The sequence below is a fragment of the Homo sapiens genome, chromosome 2 (assembly GCF_000001405.40).
Source record: "Homo sapiens chromosome 2, GRCh38.p14 Primary Assembly".
NCBI classification, from domain to species: Eukaryota; Metazoa; Chordata; class Mammalia; order Primates; family Hominidae; genus Homo; species Homo sapiens.
The window spans coordinates 48,957,654-48,976,390 of NC_000002.12; the positions used below are offsets into that span (position 1 = coordinate 48,957,654).

General features: G+C 41.3%; 1 protein-coding gene across 6 annotated transcripts in view; it reads right to left on the reverse strand.

Moving 5' to 3' along the window:
• The window catches only part of FSHR (follicle stimulating hormone receptor), a 192,359-nt gene continuing 178,125 nt past the window's right edge, over positions 4,504–18,737 (reverse strand). For 3 of the 6 annotated variants that reach the window (XM_011532733.3, XM_047443867.1, XM_011532735.3), the window contains 3 exons: positions 11,332–11,433; positions 11,045–11,230; positions 4,504–6,313 (listed from right to left, as the gene is read on the reverse strand). In XM_011532733.3, the coding sequence (XP_011531035.1) occupies positions 5,080–6,313; positions 11,045–11,230; positions 11,332–11,433 (1,522 nt within the window). In that variant the 3' untranslated portion in view covers positions 4,504–5,079. Of the gene's footprint in view, positions 6,314–9,712; positions 9,842–11,044; positions 11,231–11,331; positions 11,434–18,737 lie in introns of those variants that run through there. The other 3 variants (NM_181446.3, NM_000145.4, XM_011532740.1) reach the window with 2 other exon arrangements.

Here is an 18,737-nt window from a genome sequence, read left to right on the forward strand (position 1 = left end):
GTCACTGCCTAGCACCAATGCATTTTACTGAGTTTGTATGTCATTGGTCACCTCTACTAGAATATAGAGTCTCCAAGGACAGAAATTTTTTATTTACTACTTTATATCCAGTGACTGGAATAGTGCTTGGTTTAAAGTAGGCACTCAATAAATATTTGTTGAATGAGGGAATGCATAAGTGGAAAATAGAATTGTGTGGGCTTGTTCAGAGTTAGTTTTTGATTTCTCTAGGTGGCTCCCAGTGATATAATTTACCCCAACACCAAATATTTTTATAGTTCCAAATACTGACCCTTATCTCTTTGGTTAGACTCCGTCTCACTTTTTGAACTAGATCTGGGGGCCCCACACCATGGTATGTAGAGCCCTGGGAAACCTAGACCATCATGATATGTCCATTGGGCTTTTCTACTGGGATCTAAAACTGAGCTCATTCAGTGTTTTGAATTGAACTCTTTGCAACAAGTTGGAAAGGTTTTCTTAAGACAAAGATAAACAAGTATCTGCACAAAGGGACATGATCAGGGCATGGCTTTCTTTCACATTGCCCCTTTCCTTGATATTTGTCTTGCCATTCTCTCTTTTCCTCATGTCTCCTCCTTCCTATCCTAGTGCATTTCTTTTCTTACTTCTTTTTCCTCTTGTCTCTTTTCTTTCTTTTTTTCCTTTTCCATTCCTATTCCCAAACAGGATTTCATGGACAATGTGTGACTCCAATGGTTGCCTTTAGATCTGAGTAGTCTCTAAGGTTTGTTTCAGGGAGGGATGGAACAGACTACATGGAGAGGAGGAGCTGCACTGCAGGTTATAATGGAGGGAGGGTGACAGAGGAATGAAGACAGGAGATGTGAGGTGTAAAGGTGCCATATGTATTCTGACCTTGAATCCCACTGGCTTCATCCCATGAGAGAGGATTTGGGTTGGCTCACGTTGGAGGATGAGGTTGCCTACCCATTCATTCCCCCTCTTCTAGTACCTGCTTCCACATTCCTGACTGACAGAACTTGCCTTTCACTATAGAGGCTGAATGTGGCAGAGGCTCATTTTGTGACCTCTCTTGCAACCAGGGCAGCAGTCCTGGATAGTGAATAGAAAGGAGGCTTTCTCATGGCCTTTAATGAGACATTCTATTCCCTTTGAAAAGAGAGATGCACAGAAGAAAAGACATCTCTTCTTTGTTTCTGGATTTGGTCATGTCTGCTTGGGGCATCTGGAACTGCTATAGCAACCTACTATCATGAGGGAAGACATGGCTGAAGACTCCAAAGATGACAGAGCAAAAAGATGGAAAGGTCCTGGGTCTTTGAGATCATTGAGCTGCCAATCCAAGCCTGGAACATTTTATATAACTGGCCTTACTGTTTAAGGCTTTTTTAAAATAAGAGTTCTGCTTCTTGCCACTGAAAGCACTTTGATGAGGGTCAGCAAATACCACCTTATAGTTGAGCTTTATTTTGTGTGGACGTTTATTTAGTCTCTTTAATGGGTTCAGTTATATTTTAAACAAACAACACATCCTATATATTTGTCTTCTTTCTTCAATGTCCCTTAGTATGTAGTAGCTGAAAGTTTATTCCCTGCTTGTGCCTTTACAAACTTTCCTAATAAAATACTTTATGAACCTGAAGGTTGTGGCCATCAGTTTCAATGATCTTTTTCTGATTTTTCTAATGCCATGTGATACTGACCTAAATAAGGTGTAGTGCTGCCTGTGGTAAGAGTTGCAGTATCTTAGTGATGCAAGTGCAGGGGGCTTTTTCTCTTATTCTCTTCCTCCCTCCATTTGCTCTTGCAGAAACAAGGTATGAAGGGTTCCCCATGATCAGCACATGGAGACTTTTAGTGAAATAGTACTCTCCAGTGCCCCCCATTCCATCCCCTTCACCAAAACTAATGCATCTGTATGTGACAAGATAAAAATTTTTGATCAACTTGTGTACCTAGTTCATCTCTTCACTCTGACCCATTCACTCTGGATTTATCCATTCAGTCACCTTGCTCCAACCCCACCAAGGAGGATCCTACCTTGTCAGATTTTCTTGGGATTTAGTCAAAGGAGTATATGGAGGAAAGTTGGTGGAGAAGGGAAGACAAAATGAGAGGCTTTCCAGGATGGGGCTGAATAAATTTATGATGAGTGAAAATCTGAGGAAATAGACATGGGAGCAGGTCCAGTGTGTGGTCAGGGATAGGAGGCAAAGATTTCATTTTGCACCAGGATGGCCAAAGCCAATATCCATCATGAGAGATCAGTATTTGTATTGATATTTTCAGTATTACCCATGGAGATATGGGTACTTTAAGTAATCTCTGGGAGCTATTGTCCTCTTCATGGTTTTTGAGATTTGCAATACAAACTTAAAAAATAGAAAAAACAAACTTGTATTAATCTGAAACTTCGTGCACGCGCGTGCGCGTGTGTGTGTGTGTGTGTTCCCTCTGGGTCACCACTATGGGACTGAACTGCCACTCCAGGAGGTACAACTTTAGGGGTGTTACCTGTATAATCACCTTTAGGGGGAAGAGTGATTTCAATGGTTTTTATTATAATACAGGAAGTGTAGGATGTTTTTCTTTCCCTTTAGATTTGTCTAAAGGGTTTAGAAGCACTGAGTTTAGCTACCCATAAATATGTTTGCTTATTTGAGAAAAGTCTCATCTCTTACCAGGAAGTATTATAGTGATGGAAAAAATGTCTTCTGAGTGTCTCTTGCTGTATATTTGTCTCTGAGCACATTCTTGCCTCTCAGAGCCATGATTTCTTAAACCGATGTGTCATCAGCAGCTATGTTGTGGAATAATTAATACTCTATCGTATTTTTAATTTAGCTGCAACTTGCTTTTGAGTCCAAATTCAGAAATACATTGCCTCTGGTCAAAAATAAGGAAGATGAATGACTGCAGATGGAGCTGGGACAGCCCAGCAGTGCAGCAAACGAGTGTGTGGGGGCTGGGGAGAAAATGCTAGCTGAAAGCCCTGCATTTTTGTATAGTTCTAGATCAGTGCCCTCCAATTGAAATAAACTGCAAGCCATAAATGCAAGCCACATAAGTAATTTAAAATTTTCTTGTAGCTACATTAAAAAATGTAAAAATAAATAAGTGAAACTAATTTTTAAATGTATTTGTCCTGATACCTCCAAAACAATATTGTCCTAGTATGTAATCAATAAAATAATTATTGAGCTATTTTATGATTTTTTATATGAAGTATTTGGAATCCCATGTGTATTTTACACTTACAGCACATCTAAATTCAGGCTAGCCACGGTTCAAGTGCCCAGTAGCCACATGTGGCTAGCAGCCACTGTGCTAGACAGTAAAGCTCTAGACTCTTTACAAGGACAATTATTTTATTTTGCACTTGATGCTCACAGTATATCAAAATGGTGCCAGGTCAGATGGGAAGAGACGATTGCTTTTTCTTCTGGCTCTCTAAGGACTTCCTCCAAAATGCTTTTGGGATCAAGTTTTTAAATGTTTGCCAAAGGGTAAGAGGAGGAAGGGCTGGCTTCTGACATAGAAAGAGAAGACGCAGAGCTTTGTCTGCTAGCCAAGGCACAGAGCTTGGTGGAATTTATAGTTGATATTTATGACCGAAATTATCCAGATGGGGTCATTTATAAAATAGATGTGGGTAGTATGGTTATTTATTGAGAGCAATATGCTATAATGGAATGAGTTCTAGACTGAGGGTCAGGAGAGGGCACTAGACCAGGCACAGGTCTGGGAGGAGAGAAGTGAACTAACGTTTACCATGCCAGTTACAGCACTAGGCTCTTCACAACCATTTTCTTATCTACTTCTTACAATAAGCTCAAAAGTTAGCTATATAACCGTCTCTAGTTTACAGAAATGGCAGCTGAGCCTAGTGAGGTCAGGTCCTGGCTTATTATGGAGTCCTAATAAAATCGCAGTGCTGTCTGATTCCAAACTGCTGTGTTCTTAACATTACGATCCATATGCATGTCATATAATAGGTGTTAGGGTTCAAGTAGAGAAGCAGAACCAGTGATATATTTGCATGCATGTAAATATATATAGGTGGTAAATATTTGTTACAGGCTCACACAGTTGTGGGGAGCTGGTTAACCTGTCTTTGTAAGGATGTCTCCACAGCTGATGCCAGAACTAGAAGTCCTCAGGGTGGGCGATCATAAAGGGAAGATCACAGCATGCTGGAAGCAGCAGCACAGGTAGAACTCCACAAGCACACCCTGAGCCCTGCTTACATTCTTGTTGCCTCTGACCTTGGTGATGAAAGTGCCGTACAGAAGTTGGAGCCTTTATCATGGAGCTTAACAAATATACCTGGCCCAGGACGAGTCTGAGAACCTGAAGGAGGATCCAGGGAAAGGTGGAGCAATTGGAGACCCAGCCGTTGCTTCACAGCAGTGAGCTGAGTCAGCATCAGCAACAGAGTGTGCTGAGCTACAAAATGGCTGCCATTTTCCTCTGCCCTCCTGTTTTCCTAGAGTCCTCACTATGGCCCACACTAACTGGAAACACATGAGGAAGGGAAATCTGGGAAATGTATTTCAGCCTATCCACACTGACGCATTACAAAGGCTTCAGATGGGTGTTCAATTAATATTTGTTGAATGAATGAATGAATGAATACCATGGTGCTTCTCTGGGAAATTCTCTGGGAGTCGGAATACCTAATCCTGGCTCTGCCTCTTACAAACTAAACAATTTTGAACAAGTCACTTAACTCTTTGAGTCGTGGTTTCCTCATTTGTAAAACTCCAAGAATAATCCCTGTCCTGCTTATTTAACAGGGATCACTTGAGATATCTGAACAAAAGCACTTTGAACATAACGTGCAAAAATAACATATATAAGGATAAAATATGTAATACAGTATTGCATTCTTTAATTATTATTGTTGTTACTAATAATTCAGCTTCCTAATGTATCACATGGAATTAATAGTTCCTGACCAATTTACCTTAAAGGTATGCCAGGAATATTAAATTAGATGAAATGTGTAGAAGCACTGTCAGCTCTTTGTGACATACCCTTCAAAGGCAAGACTGAATTATCATTCAATACTCAGATACATTTTCACATTGTGTTTTAGTTTTGGGCTAAATGACTTAGAGGGACAAGTATGTAAGTGGAACCACTGGTGACTCTGGGAGCTGAAGAGCAGTGGCCATTCCTTGGATGGGTGTTGTGGACAGTGGATGAAGTTTCTGTCCTATAAATTTGGGCTTGCATTTCATAGCAGCCACACTTGCTCAGCAGAATGAAGAAATCTCTGCGAAAGTTTTTGGTAAAGATGGCATAGAGGAAGGGGTTGGCACAGGAGTTGATGGGGTGAAACAGAACCAGCAGAATCTTTGCTTTGGACACAGTGATGAGGGGCACCTTGAGGGAGGCAGAAATGGCAAAGAAAGAAATGGGTGCCATGCAGAGGAAGTCAGTGAAGATGAGCATGGCCATGCGCTTGGCGATCCTGGTGTCACTAGAGGAGGACACGATGTTGGGGTTCCGCACTGTGAGGTAGATGTGGATATAGCAGCCACAGATGACCACAAAGGCCAGGACATTGAGCACAAGGAGGGACATGACATACAGCTGTGACAAAGGGCTGTCAATATCCATGGGCAGGCAGATGCTCACCTTCATGTAGCTGCTGATGCCAAAGATGGGAAAGAGGGCAGCTGCAAAAGCAAAAATCCAGCCCATCACCATGACACTGGCAGCATGGCGGAGCTGCACCTTGCAGTCCAGCTGCATGGCATGCGTGATGGTATGCCATCTTTCCAAGGTGATAGCTGTCAGAGTGTAGACTGACAGCTCACTGGCAAAGACAGTGAAAAAGCCAGCAGCATCACAGCCTGCCCCAGTTTGCCAGTCAATGGCATAGTTGTGATATTGGCTCTTGGTATGGATATCAACTGATGCAATGAGCAGCAGGTAGATTCCAATGCAGAGATCAGCAAAGGCCAGGTTGCACATAAGGAACCTGGGGACTGTGAGTTTATATTGGCTGGTAGTTAGGATCACTAGCACTATGATGTTCCCAGTGATGGCCAGGATGCTGATAAACCATATCAGGACTCTGAGGATGTTGTACCCCATGATATCTTCACATGGGTTGAATGCATCTGGCTTAGGGGAGCAGGTCACGTCAACCACTTCATTGCATAAGTCATAGTCAAACTCAGTGTACGTCATGTCAAATCCTCTGCTGTAGCTGGACTCATTGTCTTCTGCCAGAGAGGATCTCTGACCCCTAGCCTGAGTCATATAATCAACTTCTTGCCTTAAAATAGATTTGTTGCAAATTGGATGAAGCTCAGAGCTAGAAAAATACAAAAAGAAATAGAATCAACATCTCAGATCCAGTATAGCAAATACATCACTGTCTTTGTGCAGGGTAGAAATGATGAGTTTCTTCCTGAGATTTTTTTTTTTTCTTCTCACATCATACCTGCCCTTGAGGCTAACCTCAAGGGTTAATGCTGCTTACTGTAAATGAATATAACAACTTGTATATATATTACTAGAGTTGGATGGCTCACTGGGGAAACCATCTTGCCACAACCTGAATGTGGGGAGGAAGGCACCTGAGACTAAGCCTTGCTGTTAAGTGAAAATAATTTACAGAGCTGGCATCAACTCGACCCTTTTCCTTCTCCCATCTTGATCCAGCTATCTCTTAATACACCTGAGTAGGACATATTCCTATTCGTCTACACTCAAATCACTGGAAGATCCAGACTGTTCGCTGACTCAAATGAGAACTTATTTGCTTCTCTTATCTACATAAATTAGGGGATCAAAATCTGTAGTTAGTTCCCAGCCAGCCCCTATTCCCTGGCTCTTTGGTACTCAGGCTATTAGGAGGCCAGCTAATTTGCCGGAAATGTTACCAGGGTCTTTCCTGTTCTTTATTATCTCACTTTCTGGGGGCCACAATAGGCCTCAGCATGTGCTTGTCTGCAAGGTAAGCCTGGCTCTCTCATATTGAACAGTTTCCTAGTGAGTGCCCCAAAGAACAATGCAAGCTGCAAAAGGACCTAATTTATTCTAAGAATGGAACTCATCCTCTGGGCAGCCTAGCTCTCCTTGGGCTCACTTTACTGTCTTGGTTTTGCCTTTAAACCCAAATGTACAAGGGGCCTTGTCAACAGGATAGAGGTACTTACAGAGGGATTTGAATGAAATCCAGGTGATAAATATTCAATCCACGAGTATACCCATAAATATTCTACCCCAGAGTAGTATATCAATACTCTGGATGTAGAAACAAGAAAGGTAATACTTCTGTTTGGAAGCAAAGGCTTGTGGAATGGGAATAAGCCTTACGTTAGGACCTTTTTGGATGCAAAAAAAAAAAAAAAATTGTACATACACATGCATACCTTTCCCTCCTTCCCCAAGGGGCAAGTTCACAGCAATATTAAGTTGACTGTATTTTTTTTAAACCTTGACATAACCTCAGATATAAGTGGCGAAGTAAGTATCAAACCTTCTTAAGAAGGAAAAAGGTGGCTAGGGGAGTGGAGGAGGTAAAGACTCCATTTGATGCTAAAGGATGAGTCTTGCCAGGTGTTCCAACCTATTATACAGGGACTGAACCTTGCCCCATCAACCTGGATGAGAAGGGTCTGTTAGGAAGAGTGCTCTCCTCTCTTCTCTCACCCCTGGGAAGTGAATTGAATTGCCAGGAAGTCATTTTCTCTTGGCCTAAGGGATTCTTTTTGTTTGTTTGTTTTTTTAAGGCTAAATGATTAACATACACAGAATTGAAAGTGAATGGAAACGGAGCCCAGAAAATGTTCTGGTTTAGTCAATGGTCTTCCAAGAAAGGTGAGGCAAGCTCCATAATGGGTATAGAGGGGAGAAGAGGGGTATCCTGTGGTCCTTAGTCTAACTCTAGACTCTTAAACCCTGTTACTGAATTAGTTGCAGCCTGATTCCAGGAAGAGAAAGTAAGTAACCTGGTACTTGCTGACTGCAGTTTGGTTCATTGGACTGAGCTCTGACTTAACTCTCTAGAAACAGCCTTCACTTCCTATGGCTTATGGTCGCTGTCTGTGAAGGTTCTTATTGTTGATACTGCTGTCCATATATTTTAAATATTGTGCTTCTCTTTTTCTGAAACTGAAGTGACCCACTGACATGAAGTAAGGAGAAAAGTAAATAACTTATGTCTCTGAGATAAGAACAGAAACAAAAGTGGAAACCAAAGGACATCAAGTCTTGCCTCCGCAGTACTTTGGAAAATCCTAATTATCATAAGGAGTTGGGAATTCAGTTTAGGGTCAGTTGAAAAAGTGGCACTCTTGGACTCTGATCAGTCAGTGAACAGATGCTTGGGGGTGGCATAGCAGTGTCGCAGAGCCTAAGCTTTGGAGGCAGGCAGACCAGATTTGGATCTGTTTGGTCAGTGTAGGTCAAGTTATTTAGTATCTCTGAGCCTTAGTTTCTGTCTCTGTGAGAAAGGAATAATAATGATATTACCATTGTGGGAATTAAATGAAATAAAGATACAGAGTATTACAGTGCTTGGTAGTGAATACTTGGCAAATGTCAGCAGTATGAAGACAAATGATGGTGGTTACTTATGGAATTCTTGAGGTCTAGGCCCTGTGTGGGTACTTAGAAGCATATGCAACAGCATGTCAATTTAATATTGAATTGTGAAGAAATGGCCTTCACAACATTGAGTTGTGAAGAAACACAATTTTTATTGTATTTAACATTAAAAATTGAAGAATAAAATGAGAGCAAAGTAATGCAAAATGAATACAGAATTATGACAAGGAAATATCAGGTTCAATGACAAATGAAGACTGTAGTTGATACGAACTTTTGGGAAGAGCCCAGGAAGAGTCCAGGAGGACCACTGGCCAAAGTTTTAGTCACAGGGGCCTCATGTTTACACTCTGGGCATTATTTCCAAATGAGGATCAAAAGAAGAATTTCATCATACAAGTTAAAACTTGAATCCCGCTACCAAACCACATCTACTATGATATACAATGAAATGTCACTATTGAAGGAATAAATCTGAAATTATCTTCTGAATAACAATTATTTTGTGTTGTTTGTGTGTGAATTTGATAAATATGAAAATCAAATACCCATTGCTAAAAATAAAAAATGAAAACCACCTATCACAATTTTTGTTACTCCATTTTGGCATGTAGTGTAAGAACCATGTTCCTCTCCCTTGCTATACCCCAACAGGCCTGGATGGTAAGTTAGAGCAGCAACCTAGAGGGATGAGAGCCGAGTGGTCTGGAGGGATCAGAGAAGACCTCATGTCCTGTGACAATATAAGGTAGATGTGGAGATTCTGGTTGGGAGAGCCTTGAGGCTATGTCTAGAGGAGTCTGAGTAACACGATGAGACAACAAATTCTTGGGGTGTGTTGGAACTGGGCCAAATAGCACACTGCAAGCTGCTCTCACAGTGATCTTAACATTTTCTTCTTTTTTTAAAGACAGGGTCTCACTCTGCTGCCCAGGCTGAAGTACAGTGGCACAATTATAGCTCACTGCAGCCTCGACCTCCTGGGCTCAAGTAATCCTCCCACTTTAGCCTCCCGAGTAGGTGGGACTACAGGCATGCGCCACCACACATGGCTAATTTTGTTCATTTTTTTTGTAGAGACGAGGTCCCACCATGTTACCCAGGCTGGTCTCAAACTCCTGGGCTCAAGGAGTTATTCCGCCTTGGCCTCCCAAAGTGCTGGGGTTATGGGTGTCAGCCACCTTGCCTGGCCAATCTTAATGTTCTTTATTTCTCCTTTGGGGTATTCAGTCCCATGGACTTGGTGCAAAATTGGTATCTTTCTCACTCTGGATAGAATAATTCTTATCTGGAATATAAAAGAGGCAAGCCACTGCTTCAGCCCAGGACCTTAAGAATTCTGATTGTCAGGAAGAAATTTCCTGGCTCTTGAGCTGATCTATGAAGAGTGCCCATTCTGGATAATATCCCAATGATGCATGCAGATTCTGAAAAACAGCTATTTTTCTACAAATCCTCCAAAAGGGTCTGAGTAGGGACTTCCAGCTACTCTGAAAAACATTTTAGGGTGGGTACTGTTTTGTTGCTCTTTTTGTTTTGCTTTGGAGCAAGGAATATGTCCACATGGACTGGTCAATGTATGTTAAAGGTTGAATAATGGAGGAGACTGTGTTAAACAGAGAAATAATATCATAGGAAAGCTGTATTAGTTCTAGGCTAGTATATAAGAGTAATGAAAAGACATCATTTGATGAGTGCAACTACATGGTGTGGCTTATGTAGGTGAGCTCAGAGGAGCGTGAGAGCTTTGAGAACTCTGATACTCAGTAAGTTCTTACCTCCAATGGATCATTTAAATGTCTGGAACATGTGTACAATCTCCAAGGCGACTTTCTCTTTACTCTTTCCAGATCCTGTCTATGATTACCTCACTTTTTTAACCAGTTAGCTACTAAGACTTGTCTCTGTTTAGATGGCCCTCTTTAAGTCTGGGCTTCCTTGAACCCGGCTTTCTTTGAAAGCCAAAGTAATGAGATGTCTTAATCTTTATCCTCCCTGTGAGGTAGGAAGATCCCAAGGTGGATTAGAGAGGCTTAGAGTGATTGGGATGTGCGGCAGATATGTACATCAGTCTCTGGCATGGCATTTATGCATCTCCCCACCAAAGATGACACGGATGGGGCATTTATCAGGTGCACAGTTTGGGACTTGAAGGATTAAATCTATAATGGTACAAAGGAAAGAGGGAACAGATATTATGCACCAACTCTGAGGCACTATGCTTAGTATTTTTCATGTTTTCTCATTTAGTACTTGGTATATGTTCTGCCACATGGGTAGCCCTCTCCTGTGAGCCCACTTTCAAAGAAATGAAAGAGTTCAACTATTCCTCACTCTCCATGAACTGAATTTTTGACCCAGAATGTGCCAAAGGGCTTGAGACAGGGAACTCTCTGCAAGTAGATTCTCTTCATGTCACAGATAGGTAGAAATTGTGGACAAAGTTCTACATTGGGGAAATGCCTGAGCAGGGCTTAAAGGATGGACTCACATTTGCCGTCTCCAGTTTGCAAAGGCACAGCAATGGCTGGGATAGGTGAGGCTGGCTTCCATGAGGGCGACAAGCTTTTCCAGAGTAGGCAGCTTTTTTAAGTTGTAAGTCGACCTGGCCCTCAGCTTCTTAAGATTTTCTAAGCCATAGCTAGGCAGGGAATGGATCCTTGTTCTTGAAATATCTCTATAAAGAGAAAAGGTAAATATAACAGGATTACTATGGACCTAAAACTTTCTGCTCTTGGTTAGCAGGCAAAATAGCAGACACACTAGTGATATTCTTACATGGATGAGGAGAGAGACTCCGGTTCCTCCAACACACCTTGGCCAGATGGATATTTGGCTAATAGGACATTTGGTTCTGTAGGAGTCCTGGTCCTTCTGTTCCTGGTAGGAGGAGTTAGATAACAGGCCACTCTGATTCCTGGATATACTTACATCCTGGCTAATTTGGGGCCTAAGTGTTGCTGGTGAGTAGAATTAGCCACCTTCCCTTCTACAGTCTATTTGTACCTGCTAATTTGCATGGGACTAAGGGATTGAGACCATTTGTCTGTACCATAAAACTAGCTATAAAAATATTTCTGATGAGCTGGAGTAGAATCTGTGGCCAAATTTCAGAAAAAGGGACAAGAAGGAAATATACTACAAGAGGAAGAAGAGTCTGGCAGGCGGTAGGGGCAGTGTTAGCACAAAGTCCAAGTGGCAGTACAGAGTGGTGGTTACGAACTTGGCGTCTACAGCAGACCTGCCTGCATATGTACCTTGCCCCTCTCCCTATTAGATTTATGACCTTGGTCAAGTATGTCACTTCTCCATGTTTCAGTTTCCTCAGCTGTAAAATGGGAAGACAAAAATCCTATGTGTACCTCAGAGGGTTGTTGTTAAAATTAGATGAGTTAAAGTGCATAAAGAACTTCCTGACCAACAGACAACACTTAGTGTCTGGCAACTATTCTTAGTAAACATAACACTGAGTGTGAGAGAGAGAAAGTTGTTCTTGTTTGGTAGGAAAGTCTCTGCCTGTCCATTAGACCTCAGCACAAATGACCAGTTTAACCAGGTCCCTGCCCCTGATGGGCTGCAAGTTCCATCCTTTCTGGCAGCAGCACCAGTGATGTGGGCGCTTTTCTGGCAGCACCACTGGTAGTTGCAACCTTCAAAACCAAGACCGGCTGGTGAGAACAAGGAGATTTAAATGGCACCAGCTTGGACCTGGTGGGGCCAACAGCTTGGCCGTGAGTGGGTACTTCTGATGGGGATGGTAGCAAGTGATGACCAGGATGAGTTCATTTTAGCATCCTTGGGGACCCTTGGATATACTTGAGTAAGAAGAGTCTTTTAATGTTGGCATTCCCTGTAAATCAAAGCAGTAGGCACTCAGAGTAATGAAACTTGGGGGTGTGAATATATATTTGCTACCCCATATGTTCTCACAATCTGGTGAAAATTACATTTTCAAAGTCTTGCTTTCATTGTATAATTATCTTGCTCAAAAATTTATAATGGCTTCCTATTGTCCAGTGAAACCCATCCCTAACTACTGCCTTATTTGTCACTTCCATTTCCCAAGCAAATTTATACTAGTTGTTCATGCTTTTATTTCCTCATCTCACAATTCAGTTGAGTTTCTCTTCAGCCTCTCGGGAAATAGTACTCACTAAGGCCATGTCTTAGCTCTGATCTCCTTGATTTTGTAATTACATTTCACAGGTAGAATGCTCCTTCTTTTTGAGATACTCTCTTTCTTGGCGTCATATTCTCCTTGACATATTTTCCTCTGACATCTCCGTTGACTTCTTTCTGATGCTTTTGTTTTACTTCTCTTTTATCTGTTCTTTAAATATTAGTATATCTTTATACCTAGACCCCTTCTGACTATACCCAATCTTTTCAGGTGATCTCATTCATTCCCTTAGTTTCAGATACCAGGCATGTGCTGATGGCTTCCAAAATGTGTGTCCCCATTCAGATCCTACTCCTGAGCTCCAGGTCCACATAATCAGTTGTTCTTTGAACTCCACCATTTTGATGACTTGCATCAAAACTGAAGTTACCATCTTTCTTGTAAATATGTTCCTCCTTGTTTTTTCCATCTCAGCAAATGACTCTTCCAGTTTCCCCTGTTTTTCATAATGGAAACCTGGGTGCCATCCTTGACTCCCTCATGGGACATCAGTGTCTTGTTCTCTCAAGCCTAACTTTTAAATGTGTTTCAAATCAGCCTACTTCCCTCCTCTCCTGTGACTTTGGTCTAAGTCACCACAATCTCTGCCTAGACAAATGCAAAGGTCTTATAACTGCCCTCATGACCATCTATTGCAATCTTAGTACTGCAGATATAAAAAATGCCTATTAGATTGTGACTTCCTGCTTAAGACCCTTTAATGACTCCCCATTGCTCTTAGGATGAAGGACAAGTCACTGTATACAGTGTGTTGATCATTTGCCTCTTTTCTCCCACATCCATGTTATGCCCTTCTCTACGCTCTTCTCTGTGTTGCAGGAAGGATGATCCCTGCAGTTCCATTTCCCAGGTACCACCTTATCAATCAGCTTTCAATTGGGTTTAGCAAATGGCACTAGTGGGATACTGGAGAATAGGTAAAAGTGCAAATCTCATCCCTTCTCTGTCTCAGGCAGCAACTGAGTCTTCTCTGTGACTTCAGCTCTCGTTGAACAGATCCTTGGAGGATCCAGCTTCTACCAGTTGCCCCAGTTCCTGGACATCAGTAAGATGACTTCCTCATTTGTTCCTCAAGTCCTAGGGTTAGTAGTGGTTACTATTGCCAATCTCTGGACTACTGATCCCCTGTTTGATGTTCAGGAAGATTTACATTTTCAGAACAATTACCTTTGTTAGGTGTGTGTGCATTTGTATGTGTGTGTATTTTATACATAGTCCCCTCTTTGTTAGCTGTCAATTAGATCAAATCTCCTATATACTTACTGATTTTTTTGCTTCTTTGTTCTATCACTACTGAGAAAATTATAATGAAATCTCCAACAATGATTTTGGATTTGTATAGTTCTAGTTTTGTCAATTTTTGCCTTTTATATGTTTGATGACTTTTTAAGGCTCATACAAATTTATACATTTTATGCCTTCCTGGTAACTTTCTGTATCTCTAGTAATAATTGTCTCCTAGCTCGCTGAAAGTTTCTTCTTATTTGCTGGTTCCTCCATGACCTCCAACTTTAGGAGTGCCAATGAACTCAGTGCCTAGACTTCTTTTCTCAATCTTCACTTACTCTGCAGATAAGCTTATCCAGTCTTATGACATAAACACAATTTATATGCTGATGGCGCTAAAATTTGTATTTCTGGGTTGCTTCTTTTTCTTGAACCCCAGAGTCATATTCAATTGCCTCCTTATAATCTCCACTTAGTTGTCTAATATGCAGGTCAGACTTTGAATAATAAAAATGGCCTTCCTGATATTTTCTGAAAATCTGTTCCACCTTTCCAGTTGTTCATGCAAAAACTTTGATGCCTACCTGGACTCCTCTCTTTCTCTCATACCCTATATCAAAACTCTCAGAAAAACTTCTTGACTTTTTATACCACATACATCTGGAATCTAATTACTTCTCACAACACTCATTGCTATCACCACAAGGTAAACGTTCTGGTGGTCCAGGGCATCTTGTCTAGCTCCCTCCCTATTATGATTCTTCAGATTTGGGGTCCCTGGAGATCAGAGTCTGGTCCATGAACCCTTGTCTCTTTGATGAATCTTTGATCTCTGCTGCTGTCTCTGCCTTCTCTCCATTTATACTTCCCATTGTTTTAGAGATTTCCAACTTTTTTCTTTGCTACAGGAGATCTTTCTGGTTTCTCTCTTTTGGCAACGCCTCTTCTAGCCAGTTCTGTTAGTGACACTTGCCCTGTTTTCTGTGACTGAGTTCTTATCTGTCATTTGGGTTCCTCTTTTTTTCTCAAATGTGGAAAGAACAAAGGTTGAGACCCAACTCCCTGTTTTGTCTATAACAATTCAGGACTCCCTCCAAGAAATGAGATTAAAAAAAACATTTTAGAAGTCCTTTAGGAACAATTTAGACCAAGACCATCATTGCCTCTCATGAACATTTTTCACATTTTTCAAAACGAGCAATACAAAGCAGGTTATTTTTCTTGATTATGTCTCCCCCTTGAGTTTACAGTATAAAAATTGGATTAATTGAAGATTCTAAAGAGAAACAAATTTTTATACTCCATGGAATATCATCCCATTATCTCATATACTCTGTGGTAGATTAAAGATGACTGCAAATTCTTTTACACTCTTTCCCATTGCGGGTCTATTTGTTCTCCCCTTGAATCTGGGCAGAACTGTGATGTCTTCGGATAAAAGAATATGATAGAAATGTTGCTATTCATTATAGATCTAGCCTTTAAGAGCACTGACATCTTCTACATTGGTCTTAACAGAGTCTTCAGCTGCCATGAAAGATCTCTGAATACCTTAAGGCTGCCATATTGGTAAAAGCCTAAACCATGCAGACAGGTCCTGGAGAATGAGAACCCGTATGGACAGAGTTAGAGAAGACACCACACACACACACACACATGCACATGCAAATGCACATGCAAATGCACACACACACCCAATAAACACAGATGTGTGAGGCACATAAGTGATGGGGACTACTTGGAAGTGGACCCCCCGCCCCGCAGTCAGCCGCCTGAGCTGACATTGCATGGATCAGGGCCAGCCATCCAAATGTCTGACACAAAATTGTGAGCAAAATGGAATGGTTGTTTTAAGCCATTAAATTTTAATGAGGCAATAGAGAACCAAAACAAACTCCACTGAGGTCTCCATAATGTTTAACAGTTGAAGAAGTATTTTTTCCTTGAAAACCAGTAAGAGTGCGATAGCATTATAGTCTGTATACTTTCTGCCTCTTTTACCACTGACTATCTTTTGCTTTATGTACTAGCTATTTGTATTTTATCTCTCCTTGAAGGTATAAGGCTCTCGCATTCTCAGCGGTGCCTTTCATGTAGTGAGTACCCAGAAACTTATTGCTTTGTTAGAAGATATACTGGGGAGTGACATTGGAGAAGGATTAGGAAAGGAAATAGACAGATCACCCCAGCCAACTGTGATGTTCTCCGACTTCCAGAAATTGCAGAATATTGCACCTTGTGTTATGTCTTCTATTGTTTCCTATGGTTGTCTTTTCATGTATGTTTGTTTGTCTCCTCAGCCAGATTTCAAGTGCCCTGAGAGCAGGCTTTTGTGTTCTGTATCATTTCTGGCATAGATTTGGGCTCATGAAATCTATTGAGTAAGTAGTTGTCTGATAAGCAGACATGACTCAGCATTGTAATAAAAATGAGAGGCTGGAGAAAATTTTACAAAAGAGCTAATTCTAAGGGGAGATGAATGAAAGGCAGACCGAGAAATCCAGAAATCTAGACTTAAAGTGAGCTCAGGAAAATGGTGCTTCTGCAGCAGGTAAGTATATGTGGCTGAGAATATAAAAGTTACCAAGAAAGGGAGCAACCTTGTGCAATGCCAACAAGAAGACAGACATGCCTTGGGGAGTAAGCAGAATGATACACTGGGTAGATTGACTTGAATGCAATCCAGTGTTTAGGTGTTAGATTGGGAAGCCTCCTTGGTAAACTTCATTGCCTTTCCGTTGCTCAGTGTTCTGGAGCTAGCTTGTTATTTTGGATTCCTTCTTATCACGGCTACAAGACATATGTGCTGCTGCCATTTGCACATGGTGGCTTTGATGCTGTGAGACGAAGGCATCTTGTCAGTGCCCTGGGATTGAGATCTTTCATTGGTGGATGTTGAAGGAGGGAGCTCTTGGTAAGAAAGAGGCAAAGTCACTTAAAGTTCAGTAAAGCAAATTTTTAAGCAAAAGTGGTTCCTGGATGACAGGGAAATAAAAGTCTTTGTGGAGGTGTTTACTTAAAGCTTACTGTCTGAAGTGATCAAACATGGAACCTGTCAAGACTTCCAAATTTTGAACTGACAGAAAATACAACATATCTCTAGTATCTCCATGGATTAAGAAAATTCCATAGAAATTTATATTAGCCAGGGACAAAGATGAGATAAGTAGATCTTGTTCAGATCTTGGCTAGAGACTTAACTATAGTATATTCCCTTTTTTGCTCTGTTCTCCTAAAACATACACACACACTCATACACACACAGGTCTATTTGTTGGCTACAGTTCTTCTGCATGGCCTAAAAATCAGATGTTTGATTTTAATTCCTTTATGAAAACACTCTCCATTTTTATGATGCAAATATACATGGGCGTGGGTGGGGGGTAGTAACAAAAAAAGACATCAGTTATTCACATCTTCATGGGAGTACATTATTGTGACCACGATAGTTAATTTTAGGTGTCAACTTGAGGGGATTAAAGAATATTCAGATAGTTGGTAAAGCACTATTTCTGGGTGTCTGAGGGTATTTCCAGAAGAGATTGGTATGTGAATCCATGGATTGAGTAAGGAAGATATGCCCTCACCCAGAAGCTGGGTACCCCTTCTTCTCCTACTTTTAGACATCAGAACTCCAGGTTCTCAGGCTTTTGGACTCAGGGATTTGTACCAGTTTCCCTCCCCCACCCCCTTGGATTCTCAGGACTTTGACTTCAGACTCAGAGTTATACCATCAATTTCCCTGGTTCTCAGGCCTCTTCCCAATCCAACACCTGAACACTGGATGGTGTTCAAGTCAGTCCACCCAATGTATCATTCTACTTACTCCCCAGTGCATGTCTGTCTCCTTGTTGACACAGGCACGTCAGGCCTCTTGCTTGGACTGAGAATTAGATGGCCTCCCCGGTTCTGAAGCTTTCAAGTTTGGACCAAGCCATGCTATAGCTTCCCTGGTTCTCCAGCTTGCAGATAGCCTATCATGGACTCCTCAGCCTCCATAGCCATGTGAGCCAATGTCCCTAAGAAATCTCCTCTTCTCTTATTTCCTCGAGCAGTGGTTCACAGTTCTCCTTGAAGAGGTCCTTCACATCCCTTGTAAGTTGTATTCCTAGGTATTTTTATTCTCTCTGTAGCAATTGTGAATGGGAGTTTGCTCATGATTTGGCCCTCTGTTTGTCTATTATTGGTGTATAGGAATGCTTGTGATTTTTGCACATTGATTTTGTATCCTGAGACTTTGCTGAAGTTGCTTATCAGCTTAAGGAGATTTGGGGCAGAGATGATGGGGTTTTCTAAATATACAATCATGTCATCCGCAAACGGACAATCTGACTTCCTCTCTTCCTATTTGAATACCTTTTATTTCTTTCTCTTGCCTGATTGTCCTGGCCAGAACTTCCAACACTGTGTTGAATAGGAGTGGTGAGAGAGGGCATCTTTGTCTTGTGCCAGTTTTCAAAGGAAATGCTTCCAGTTTTTGCCCATTCAGTATGATATTGGCTGCGAGTTTGTCATAAATAGCTCTTATTATTTTGAGATACGGTCCATCAATACCTAGATTATTGAGACTTTTTAGCATGAAGTGGTGTTGAATTTTGTCGAAGGCATTTTCTGCATCTATTGAGATAATCATATGGTTTTTGTCATTGGTTCTGTTTATGTGATGGATTATGTTTATTGATTTGTGTATTTTGAACCAGCCTTGCATCCCAGGGATGAAGCTGACTTGATCGTGGTGGATAAGCTTTTTGATGTGCTGCTGGATTCAGTTTGTCAG